The 13,671-nt window shown below is 39.8% G+C and overlaps 1 protein-coding gene across 15 annotated transcripts in view, besides 1 other annotated feature; it reads right to left on the bottom strand.

The window, feature by feature from the left end:
* ANKFN1 (ankyrin repeat and fibronectin type III domain containing 1) overlaps positions 1–13,671 on the bottom strand; it is a 470,940-nt gene that overhangs the window by 82,741 nt on the left and 374,528 nt on the right. The gene's annotated exons all lie outside the window — the stretch shown is intronic.
* Positions 5,510–5,719: a silencer, noted in NCBI's record as "silent region_8737". NCBI's record gives its function as "represses an Ori minimal core promoter by ATAC-STARR-seq in GM12878 lymphoblastoid cells {active_cell/tissue: GM12878}" and the evidence as "EXISTENCE:reporter gene assay evidence [ECO:0000049][PMID:35858748]".

Genomic DNA, 13,671 nt, shown 5'->3' with positions numbered 1-13,671 from the left:
CAAAAATAATATGTGCTTCTCTACATATATCGTGTACTCTCCTAGTTTTGCTTATCATATGATAGAGCTACACACAGATACAGGTAGGGAGCAGAGGTGTCTAAATTTTCAGGATTTTGAAAAATTCATAAGCACTACAAGTAACCACAAAAAGTCTCCTCCATAGTCTGAACCATTTGCTTGTTAATTGCTCTCCTAATAGTTATTATATTATGGCTCTTACCTAAATTTTTTTTTGTTTAGATGGAGTCTTGCTCTGTCGCCCAGGACGGAGTGTAGTGGCACAATCTTGGCTCACTGCAACCTCTGCCTCCCGGGTTCAAGCAATTCTCCTGCCTCAGCAGAGAAATTTGCTGACCACTGGCTGAGACTTAAAAAAGTGATGGAGAAAATGTTAATAATGCAGACTAAATATTTCTGTGACTGTTACAGTTTTTTTTTTTTTATTTCCATAGGTTATTGGGTAACAGGTGGTATTTGGTTACATGAGTAAGTTCTTCAGTGGTGATTTGTGAGATTTTGGTGCACCCATCACCCGGGCAGTATACACTGCACCCTATTTGTGGTCTTTTATCCCTCACCCCCTTCCCGCCCTTTCCCCTTGAGTCTCAAAGTCCATCGTGTCATTCTTATGCCTTTGTATCCTCATAGCTTTAGCTTCCACTTATGAGTGAGAACAAACGATGTTTGGTTTTTCCATTTCTGAGTACTTCACTTAGAATAATAGTCTCCAATCTCATCTAGGTTGCTGCAAATGCCATTAATTCATTCTTTTTTATGGCTGAGTAGTATTCCATCATATATATATACATATATATAGTATGTATGTATATCTCACAGTTTCTTTTCTTTTTCTTTTAAATAGCACAAAAAATTGAGGAAATATTCTTCTAATACTCAAAAACTATTATTTAATTCAACAAAGAAGTTGCTTATGTCATTGATGAATAAGTTCTAAAACAGGTCTTTGTTGCTTTTTGTTTTACTTCCTTCAGGTAAATAAAAATAGCAACCAACATTTACATGGAAACTGCACCATTCCATTAATTGCAGCCACCATTTGGCTGCAGATTCAAAAGTTCAACAAAAATAAAAGCATTTTGATAGAATCAATGGGTGATAAAGAATCTACAATAAAGAGTATTGTGTGTTTTATTATTATTTGTGAATTGTGTGCTACACATTCTATCAGTAAAATTTACAATAGACTTATATGCATATATATGTCTGTGTGATTATACGCATATGTATATAATTATATGCACATATAATCTATATATATAGATTTTTCCTCTCCAGGGTATCAGTTGTTAAGCATTTACCATCATATCATTGTATAAATGCTAGATGATTGCTCAAGCAGATTTTGGAAGGTGGATGTATCATGATCAGCAGGTATAATGACTGTCTGAGGGGTGTAGACTTCTTGGGCATAATTTAGGTAACATCCTGACATCAGGAGTCAAGAATGAGGTACTCAAATCCCTTTAGGACACAGGAGTGGCACAGTGAGGGAATCTGGGGCAGAAGGTCAGTTACCAAGCAGTCACCACCTGGGAGGTCTGTGCAGTGGCCAGGCTCCAGGTCCTGGGCAGTACAAGAGTCCAGGTTCCCTGCATTAGCTCTTGTCTAAGCCAGGGCTGGCCCAGAAACTCGTGAAGGACACAGCCTGCAGGGTGGGCATCTGTGGACCTGACTGAGCAACCAGGGCAGCAGTCATGGACTGACAAACTAATTGCTGTTCTTATGGATGGCAGGCCATACCAGGGCGCTACTCCCGATAGCATAAAAGATTACGCCTGAACAGGACTAACCATGCTTCATTATTATTACATTTTATTACTATGTGTAGTAATATTTTATTATACATTATTACAATATTTTATTTCATGTTGTCTGGACCTTGTGAATAAGCACTTTTAGGACACTGAACTAAAAGTAGTCACATCACTAACTCAGACAAACTCTTCTACTTTCTCTTCTTCCTTGAAACCCTGCCATATCCTTGAGTAAGATGTCCAGATAGATCGTCACTTGTTTAGACTAGTTTTTTAGGAGAAACTGTCCTGATAATTTTTGTTCATGAAAAAAGTATGAGCTTTTAAAAAACTGTAATGGATGTAACTGAACAATAGCAAGAACTCTTTTAAAACCCAGTGACAATTGGAAATCAGCAGGCTTGGGCTGCTAACCCCACCACACCTCCCTTGAAAAGTGGCAGCCTCTGACAGCGCTTCCACAGGCCAAGAGCTCTCCTGGAGATGTTTCCTGGGATTCTGACATTTTTGTTTTGTTTTGTTTTCAGCAGAGCCATACCCATGTTGCTTGCATGGAGAGAGCTCCAGCAAGCTATTTTACATTCCTAAAGGAACAGAGCAAGGAGAGCACAGGATTAGCTGTCTGATTTACACACACAAAGACCAAGATACGTAGTCAGTTTACATTCACAGCTTTCTGAGTCCTGTTGGGCATTCCTGAAATTAAAATCACTAGCCACGGGGGCAAAAGCAAAAACAGTTCAACTTTCTTGCCAGATGCTGAGCCTTCATTTAGAAAGGGGCACTCTGACTTTTCTTTTATTCACTTACCTCATCCATTGAAAAGATCCCATTTTCCTCCTTATAATTTTAAGCAATGAATTAAACTCCTTGAGGACAGGATCAATGCCAGATTGATCTTTGGACACCCACTTTCTCTTGTAGAAGTACAGAATCGGGGCTCAGATTGAGTGGGTTTGACTTATGTGTGGACATAGATATGGGGAGGACAATCTTCATAGTTCCATTTTGCTCCCTGGGAGCCACAAAATAGGGATACCTTTGCTGAGCATTTAAGCTAATTTCTGAGCCTTAGGTCATATTATTCCCTGCATTTACCCTGTGCCCAGGGAGGAGAAACCATTTAATGAAAATCCACCAGCTTCTTTTACAGAAAATGTCATCATTATTTCTCATAATAAATAATTTTAACATTTATCCTCACAATTCCTGAAAGATGGGCTAGGTCAGTAATTTAGTAATTCTATCCATTTAACAAGTGGCATAACTGGGAATTAAAGCTAGGTCTGCTTCGACCCAAAACTCCCCTATCATTTCTGGAAGTTCTTGATCCTTCCCCTGGCCTACAAGGTCTGGATGGTCTGGGCCTTCTCCATCTGCTAGTTTTGGTTCTATCATGCTTACTTGTTTTGTTTCTGTCTCTGGTTTTTAGATCCTGAAACATGCCAGACTCCTTCCTGTCTCAGGAAACTCACGCATACTGTTCATTTTGCTGCAAATGCTCTTTCTTCCGACCTCCGACTTCTATTTCGTTATTTATTTCTTCCTTTTCCTTCAGCCATCAATGTAAATGTCAGTTCTACATGGAACCCTTCTCTGATCCCCAAGACAACATTGGGTCCTGGTATATCCTCTCAGAGCACCAAATACTGTTCCTTTGTAGCACAGTAATTATTGATTTGTGCAATTATCTCTTTAATTCTGATAAGCTCCATGAGGACAGTGACTATGTCAACTTTATATGGCACTATAGTCCTCAGCAGCTAGCATATGCCATAGCATGCAGAAGATCAATAAATACTTTTGGAATTGATGTTAGTTTTTTTAGCAGTTGCCATTAAATTTTATTTTCCTTTACATTTTCAAGGTTTACAATATGATGTTGTGATATTCATATACATAGTGAAATGATTACACAGTCAAGCCAATTAACATATTCATCTCTCACATAGTTACCTTTGTGTGTGTGTGTGTGTGTGTGTGTGTGTGTGTGTGTGGTAAAAGCATCAAAATCTACCCTCTTAGCAAATTTTTTTTAGTAGACAATGCAGTATTACTAACTGAAGTCTACCTAACTATAACTTTTTACCATTTGACTTACATCTCCCCATTTTCCCTCTCCCCATCCGACTGCCCCGGTTACTGCTATTCTACCCTCTTTTTCTGTTTGTGACCTTTTTTAAAAAATTAAAGATTCCACATATAGGAGAAGTCATGCACTATTTTTTCTGCATCTGGCTTATTTCACTTAGCATGATACCCTCCAGGTTCATCTGTATCACAAATGACATTAGATTATTGATCAGCTAGGTTGTAGGGTTATGGAGAGGCAAATGACATGATCTCTGACCTCAAGGAGCTTACGGTTTAATATCATGGTCCATTTCTTACAGATGAAAACAGGAGGACCAATATTTTCCAACATCAAAATGACTCTCCCTTCTCTTCTTGTCAAAAACCTACTCAAGTGAAAGACTCATGGTCCATCAACTTCAGGTCATTCTCTCTGGTCCTCCAGAATAATTTCAACTGTCATTCTTTCTGGCATTTATATACTCTACTTCATATTATAATGATTTACGTGCATGCATTTTCAACTCTACCAGCACAACATATTTCAAATTGGCCTCCTATTAATTTTTTAAACTCCATTGCTATAATTACCCTAATCCAAGCCACTATTGTTTCACATCCATACTCCTACAACAGTTTTATAGCTGAGCTAGTCTCTCTGCCTTTATTCATACCCCCACCAATCCAATGACACTGGAACAATCTTTTCAAAGCATAAATCCTATCACAATACTTTCTTACATAGAAACCTTGTACTGGTTCTCTAATGCACCTGGAATAAAATCTAAACTCCTCAACATAGTCTACAACAGGACCTGGCAAACTGAGATCTGTAGGCCAAATCCAGCCTGCTGCCTGTCTCTGTATAGCCTGTGAGCTAAAAGTGGTTTTTATGTTGAAGAAAAAGCAAAATATTTCATAACGTGAAAATTATATGAAATTTAAATTCAACTCATTGGCTTATGTATTGTCTCAATGGAAGGATTTAATAGTTGGCATAGAGACCATATAACCTGCAAAGCCTAAAATATTTACTATCTGATCCTTTACAGGAAAAGTTTGCTAAGCTCTGGCCTACAAGGCATCATGATCTGGGTCTTGCTTGTTTCTTTGAAAGCCCCCCTTCTACCGTTCTATCCATTTCGCTTCATCTGCCCTTTCAGTTTCTCAAACTTAGTAAGTGATTTCTACCAAGCCCATTTATGCCTCTCCCCTAACACACTATCTTATTTTATTTTTTTCACTTATCACTATCTGAAGTTGTTTTCTTTCTTTACTTACTTGTTAACTTAAGAAAATGTGAGATCCATGGGCTCATCTGTTTTTACCCCACTGTATACAAGAGGATCTGCCCATGGTAGGCATTTAAAAAAGTTGTGTTAAAGGAATATCTTATCTTCCCTGGAACTTCTTCAGTGCAGACTCTGCACCTAACTCAATTTTGCATCCCTCACAGTGGCCAACATCTGTAGAGTAATAGTTCCAAAAACAGCTATTGAATGAATAAAATGAGAGTCACTTCTCTCTCCTTCTGGGACAAAATGAAAAAAAAAAAAAAAGCACTTTTTGTCAGCTGGGTCCCAAGAAACCATAATGTGTGCAGCATCTTTTTCACCTCATCTACAGTCTGCTGGTTGAGAGCACATTTTAAGAAGGGGCCATGGGCCGGTGCTGTGGCTCATGCCTGTAATCCCAGCACTCTGGGAGGCTGAGGCGGGTGGATCACTTAAGGTCAGGAGTTCAAGACCAGCCTGACCAATATGGTGAAACCGCATCTCTACTAAAAATACAAAAATTAGCCAAGCGTGGTGGCAGGCACCTGTAGTCTCAGCTGCTTGTCAGGCTGAGGCATGAGAATCATTTGAACCCGGGAGGCGGAGGTTGCAGTGAGCCAAGATTGTGCCACTGCACTCCAGCCTAGGCGAAAGAATGAGACACACCATCTCAAAAAAAAAAAAAAAAGAAAAAAAGCTCCAATTATTTGAAAAGTAATCAACTTTTAAGATATAGCATATAATTAATGTCACAAAAGGTGAACAGTAAAAAAAATAAATCCTGAAACAATCAAAACTGCAATGGTTTATTGGAGCTAACAGTAATCTTTGGAGGATGCTGGGAGACCATCTATTAATATTTACTGGAGCCTTGTGCTTTAGTTATAAATACGTCTTTCTTTTCTTTTTTTTTTTTGAGATGGATTTTCACTCTTGTTGCCCAGGCTGGAGTGCAGTGGTGCGATCTCAGCTCACTGCAACCTCTGCCTCCCGGGTTCAAGCAATTCTCATGCCTCAGCCTCCTGAGTAGCTGGGATTACAGGTGCCCGCCACCATGCCTGGCTAATTTTTTGTATTTTTAGTAGAGATGGGGTTTCATCATGTTGGCCAGGCTGGTCTTGAACTCTTGATCTCAGGTGATCCACCTGCTTTGGCCTTCCAAAGTGCTAGGATTACAGGCATGAGCCACTGCACCTGGCCATAAATACTTCATTTAATCCTCCTAACACTCCTATGTGGTAGGTAATGTTCTCTTCATTTTATAGATGAGGAAACTGAGACTCAAAACTTTTAAATAACTAGCTCAGATCCACACAGCCTATCAATGCAGAAGCTGGATTCAAACTCCTGTCTCTCTTATCTGCCTCCCAAATCCATATGGGGAGAAAGTAATAAATGGATTAATAGCCATTTTGAGGTCTCTTTGGCTAGAGAAAGCTCCACTATGTAAAGCTCAGACAGTCTGTGAGATATTGGACTTTCGCTGACTGAACTTAAGGCAGGGACTCCTGGTTGGCGCCTCTGTCCCCTTTCCCCAGGGGCCAGAGTTGTCTCTAATACTGTGATTTCCTTGTTATGCATTTCAAGAAGGAGAGAGGGTTGGGGGCAGTGACCACCAAGCAGAACAAGGGGTTGTACTGAGTCTATGAGTCTCATAAAGGTGTTCTGTATGTTCATATCAGCTACATGTGGCAATAGTGGCCAAGATAAGTACTGAGTAAAAAAAAAATAAACAGCAATGTAAACAGTCACAGAAGACTCGTGTACATTGCTGGCCCATAACTGGAGCCTGGTTCATGTTATGGAGTCTTACTGGTGCCAAGTGTTTCTCCTCCTCCCCCTCTAAGAGCCTACTCTGAGCACTCCCAGTTCTGGATAAGGTTCATATCTTTTAGTCACCTGTTTCTCTCTCTTCTGACTACAGACATGTAAGCTAAGGTGAGAGACAGGATGGAAGACTTGGGAACAAAGCAACTCCGAAGTAGCAGCGGTTCCTCAGGACCCAAAGGAATTTGTGGGGAATTAAAGATAAATAAAAAAGAAAAAACCAGACCTTCTTGGGAGGCCAGCCCCAGTCTTCTTCCCTCTGTGTCTCACTAAAAAGAATGTGCTATTTTGGGCTTTTTTCTTCTGTATTTGTTTTCACATTCTCCTGTAAATTACTCAACAAGGTGCCTTACTGATCCTGAAAAATTCAATCTTCAGATTTTTCCCATCAAGTCAAGAAGCTTCCACAGCTTCCCAGGGAAACAAAGAGTCTTGTTCTCCATTCCCAGGCTCAGCTTCTGCTTTTGTGATGATCAGACTGGCTGATGTTGAGACATAAATCTCCATAAGGTCACATGGGAGTTCTTTTTTGGGGGATTCTCAAGTAGGCTTCAGCAGATCAAAGAATACCCTTTATGTTATAAGCAAGATATATGTATTATTTTTTTCAGAACCCTGTGAAAGGTTAAACATCTCAACATACATTGCATATCCTAGCAAGGGGTATTTGAAGGACCTAGTTACTTTTCTTGGGAAAGTGCTGTAGTTATCTCTATTTTGTGTGTTGCCTTTAGTTTCTCCATATCTGCTTGTATGTAATATCTCTAAATTTTCAACATTCACAAAACACAGTTAAAACAGTAGCTTTGACCTAAAATGCATAATGTTGAGTATTTTCCAGCTCATCTGCTTAACTGGTAGATTGACTCATGCATGCCTTTTACTTTGGTCCATGACAGCAGCTGGCACATAGTAGGTATCCAATAAAGGTGTCTTAAATGAATGAATGCAGTTGTTCAATTAGTAAAGACTGTCACATTGACAGTTGAACAGGAAGAACAAGACTGCTATTTGGAAATATTCAAAAGAGGTCACTGACTGTGGGGAGGAGAATGTGGTTGAAAGAAAGGAACTCTTCAGATTTTGAAAAATTTTATGTATTCTAAAGTAACCAAGGTGGGACAGGAAGGTCATTGACCAGGATTAAATCTTGGGAGTAAGGTACTTGGCCCATAGACAGGAAAGAGAATTATGTGGACTTATTGGAGGGAAATATACATAATAGCTTCCAAATAAACATAATTGAATTTTTTGAATTTTGTATCTTTTGGTCAAATACTCAATTCCAAGCTAATTGCTGGTACATTCAGGATAAGAAATCAAATCCAACTTTAAATATAGTGTGCTGATTGGCTGACTGATTCATCAGACTCTAACTGACACCCTTCTAGGGACAAGGAAATGTCCTGGGGATGTAAATATGAACAAAGCTCAAATCTTATCCTACAGACAGTAACAGTACAATGGTGGGAAGCGAGACGGTCAAGTCAATTTAAGATTATAATACAATCTGATGAGAGTAATGATAGAGGCAGGCTCAGATTAGGGTCACCCTAAACAGTCTGGCAGGGAGTGGTTAGGGATAACTTGCTAGACAGGCTGGCTCCTGGCAGACTTCTGAAGGATGTATAGGAAAGAGTGGCTAAAGGCATTCCAGGCAGAGGTTGCTGTGTGTGCAAAGGCACGGAGTCATGGTGTGGTCGGGGAATTGCAAGGCAATTACAAGGAACAGGAGAAGAGATGAGGTGAGATGGGAGTGTGACTTTAGAAATAAGATGGGACAGGAGACAGGAGCTCAGGTTATGCTAAGAAGTATCAACATTATTTGAAAGCATTTTGGAGCTCTTGAAAGATCAGCCATTATGTGATCAGATTTGCATTTTAGGAAAATTTCTCTTATATTTTGTAGGAGGAAAATTGGAGAGAGTCAATGCTGTAGTTAAAGAGACCAGAAAGACATTGGTGCAATGATATATGTCAGATGTGGTACCAGTTAAATTGTGGACATTATCTCCACCTTTGTGAGGGGGAGGAAATTTCCTGACTTCCTGTTACCCACCAAAACCACCTTTTCCTATTCATTGAGGCATCTGTGAGCCAAATTTCTATGTAAACCCAAATATTTGGCATCACAGCATCACAAGCTCTCATAGGAATGCTGAATACTGGAGTTCAGCTACTTTTTTTTTTTTTTTTAACTAAGAGCTGTTAGCAACAGTGTATACTTAAAAATTTCCAAATCATATATCGTGGTCATATCAAAAGCCATGCTCTCTCTCCAGGTGTATGTAACGGGTCTCAGCTTTACTCAAAGTTCAATTGCAAACAGTAATAAAAACATTGGCATCTCATTGCTCATTTAATATTTATGTAGCTGTCACCATCTCAATTCTACACATTTGAAACCTCAGAGTTGGTTGGAGTTGAGGTGAGCTGAAATCCCCTTTGACAGTAGGTTTTTTTGGGGATGCTTTCATCCTTAAATAACTTTCAAAACAACACTCAGATAGTGGCAAGAGATCAAAGAAATACTCTGTTACCACAGGGGCTGCTGAAACTGTTATTTCCCCAAGAAAAGTTTCCCCTTTGCAGAGAATAAAGTAGATCAGCCTTATTAGGGATTGGAGCAAATACTCCGTCAGGCAAAAGCAGACCCAAGCCCAGCCAGATGTACATTCATACTGCTTCTTCTGCAAGGAATCCAAGAGAGAGATATGGGGGATGAAGCAACCAAGGAAGGGCAGACTGGGGCTAACTGTCTACTTCTCATTACAAGAGTAACACCTTGCAGTTCCATAACATTTTTACTTTGTGACACCTTCTTCCACATTTTTCTCCTTTGATTTTCACAACAACCATGTTATGTATTTTTCTCATTTTAGAGGTGAAGTTAAGGCTTTGCCAGACTGAGAGCACACACTGTGAATGAATGCGAGGGCCAGATTTTGAACCCAGGTCTGTCTGGGTTCAAAATCCAGTGCCTCCTTCTCACACAGTTTAATGAAACTTCAGCATGTACTCAAAAGTGACGAAAACAGCAGTTGTAGAGAAGGAATCATGGAGGTACACAGGTTTGTAAGTTTTCATTTTGAGTAAGTCTGAGGGATGATACAGTTCTATAGATCAGTGCAGGTCCATGATGAAGGGTAAAGCTTTATGTCTTTAAGGGTGTCACCCCTTAGTGCACCCACCTTCTACCCTGTGGGACTCCAGAAAAATCTGTAGCATCTATATTTAGAAGGATTGTAACACCAGTTTCTTCAAGTATAAAACTCTGAGACTAAATTCTCCTTTTATTTAGGTTCTCCACCTTCAGTAATAGTAATTACTGCATTTTAATGACACTTTCCAGTTTAAAAACATCTTTATGTACTCAGGTTTCTACATATAAAGCCAATACATTCCTGAGCATCATTAAGATTGGTGGGTGACAGGGATGTAAACAAAAATAAGAATTTATCTTTGCCCTAGAATTATCATAGCCCAGCATGCAGATGGATAAAGATACAGATAATTACAATAAAAATGTGATGCTCCCTATAACAGGCACATGAGCAAATTGTTGCTGAAGTGCCAATGACCAACTAAGTTGGGGCAGGGAGGAAGATGGGATAAGGGAAGGTAACATTTGGTCTGGGTTTTGAAGATTGAGTAGGATTTCACTCAATCTTGGGGCATTCCAGGGAGAGAGATTGAGAGCTGAAAAATTTGGGCACAATCATGTGAAAAAATGGATGTACTGCAGAAGAGAAAGAAGAGGAAGGCAAGACGTAGGGGCTGAGGGATAGGTTGATATGCGGAAGGCCTTGTACGCAATGCTGAAGGTTTATGAGCAAGGGAATGAGGTGATCAGTTCCTGGTTTAGTTTGATGACCAGTGTTGGTGTAAGGAGGGTCATTGGAGACATTTAAATCTTACAAGCTCTGCTGTTCTTACTCATATTTCAAATCAGCGAGCTGCTTCTCATACTGTTTCAAGGACTTTGCCCACTGCTAGCTAGTAGGAGTAGGAATTGCCACAACTTAGCTATACAACCTCTGACTTCAATTCCTGTTGACCCAACGTGTCTGTGTGGTGCGTGGCTCCAGCCCACTTGCTTTCTGTAGAGCCTTTGGTCTGTAATATTTGGGGTGATCTGCTCAGCTCATTCACTATCAACACTGAACAAATAACCTAGATTTCCCTTGAAGGATTGCCCTACATGAGAATAGTGACATATCTACACTTTTTTTAAACTTCAATTTAGTTACTAAAAGGAATCTCCTCAGAATAATTGCTGGATGGTGTTGACAAAAGTTTGAGTCCCATCATCTGACTGCAGTTGTGTTGACAGCAGTCCCTGGAGAACTCTGCTGCAGGGACCAATGGTTGCTTTCACCCTCCTAGGGCAGCACCAGGACTTTGGGGTCTCAAACAACTATAGTTACAGACCAAGCACGTGGTCTAGCAAAAGCTAGAGTCCAGCAGAGTTAAAAAGAGTTATGCGGCTTTGGCCATCTTCTTTATGAAACAGATTCCTCCATTTTTTTTAGTGGAAAATGCTAAAACATTTTTAGCATTGGGTCAAGGGTGAAATCAAGAATTTCAGGGCATTGTAATGGTCACCACAATAATTTATTTCAAGTTATTTTGAATGGTAAGGGTTTATCAAACGTTCATCATCCTCATCTGAAGGCTTAAAATAAAAAAAAAGTAATGAGGATCTTGCGCTTCAAGGTTTCGAATTTCAAAAAGCATTTGCCAACATTGGATACTGAATATTTATCTAAAAATTGTAGCAGCATATTCAGAGAAGTAGTTGAAGTGTGTGCGTGCATGCGTGTGTGTGTGTATGTGCGTGTGTGCATGCGTGCGTGTGTGTGTGCATGTGTGTGCATGCATGTGTGTGGTGGCAGCAGGGGTGGGGGTTTGGCTAAATGCTGCCTGGGACTGGAGAATGAAGAAATGAAAGTTTGTTTATTTTAGTATTTATCAAAATATTTGGTATAAAACCACATGGTCCAATAAGGCTAGGAAAATCAATTTACAAGTAAAAGGCCAAGGAAACCCAATAAAACATTTGTGACAACCCAATAAAACATTTTGTGACAGATATAAGTACCATGCGTTAGCAAGGTGCAGTGTGAACATGTTGCAAAGAAACTCACTTTTAAAATGCATAATTTATGCACAAATTATCTGACTAGTATTAGGAGGCACATGGTTTTAAAATTATATATACATTTGGATAAAATTAGTTTTTATTTTCAGAAGACTTTGGAAATATCTGATTTTTCTAAGTGTACTCATCATTTCACCCATGAGAGGGATAAAAATACAGGTGAAAGTGGTAGATCTGACATATTTCTTTCAAAAAGAAATATGACATCACGCATGGAAAAAATGTAAATGTTGCAAAAGGTTATATCCCCCCTTAGCTCGTGTCCCAGAGGCATGCTAATATCAGTTATTGACTCTCCAAGATATTTTCCATGTATATAAAGACAGAATATATTCTGATGAACCAGAGTGAAATTATGATTCCTAATGAGTAAAATGAGGCGGTATTTCACTGATTGGGTCGTTAAATGACATAATGATATGAAAAATCCTTGACAAACTTTTGAAGGGTTCGCAAATTTTAATCGATTACAGACTTCTTAATCTGGAGTCTGTGGACCTCTAGAAAGTCTAAAGCTTGGTTTCTGAGTGTTGTGGACAAAATATACAGGGTATGCGTACTAATGCATTATTAGAATTTGCTTTGTTTTGTATTTTTCCTAGGCAGACAAAGCCATGATGGCCAAGTTTCTTAAAGGGAGAGTGATGCCAAAGAGGTTTAGTATCAGCGTTTAGAGCCTAGTGCCATTGGTTTGGGTTTGTGCCCTATTCATTGAATGAGCATCAGATGAATGAGAGGAGGAAGATGGCAAGGTAGTTAATAGTTGTCTGTGGGACCCTCCGACTCCCTTTTTCTAGACCTCTCTGCCTGTTCTGGCCTTCATCCAGAACTGACATACGTTTCACCCAGTGCCTATGTGTTCCTCATTGAGGCATCTCATTCCTCTAACTAAGCCCACTGTCTTGCACCATTGTGCCAAGCTTCCAGAATTACCTTCCAGCCTTCTTCCATCATCAAAACTCTGAACCTAGCTATCACAGAGGAAAACACTTCTAACTAAAAATTATAGATACTTCTAATGATAAACTACTTTTTATCAAAGTGTGATTAATGGTAAGGGCAGAAACAGGCCCTGAGACCATTTTCATTTTTGTATTTTAATTATTTATTCCCGCCCCCCAGCACACAAATATTTTCATTTTAAAAGAAGGAGTCGGCCGGACCCAGTGGCTCACGCCTGTAATCCCAGGACTTTGGGAGGCCGAGGCGGGCGGATCACGAGGTCAGGAGATCGAGACCATCCTGGCTAACACGGTGAAACCCCGTCTCTACTAAAAATACAAAAAAATTAGCCGGGCGCGGTGGCGGGCGCCTGTAGTCCCAGCTACTTGGGAGGCTGAGGCAGGAGAATGGCATGAACCCGGCAGGCAGAGCTTGCAGTGAGCCGAGATCGCGCCACTGCATTCCAGCCTGGGCGACAGAGTGAGACTCCGTCTCAAAAAAAAAAGAAAACAACAATAAAAAAAAAAAAAAAAAAAAGAAGGAGTCAGAAGAAGCAACATAGAATATTAATTTCTGCCACAGAGTTTCCAGGCTTTTATTTTTCAGCACACATAAA

The sequence above is a fragment of the Homo sapiens genome, chromosome 17 (genome assembly GCF_000001405.40).
Source record: "Homo sapiens chromosome 17, GRCh38.p14 Primary Assembly".
NCBI lineage: Eukaryota > Metazoa > Chordata > Mammalia > Primates > Hominidae > Homo > Homo sapiens.
This window is presented reverse-complemented; position numbering and strand designations above follow the sequence as displayed.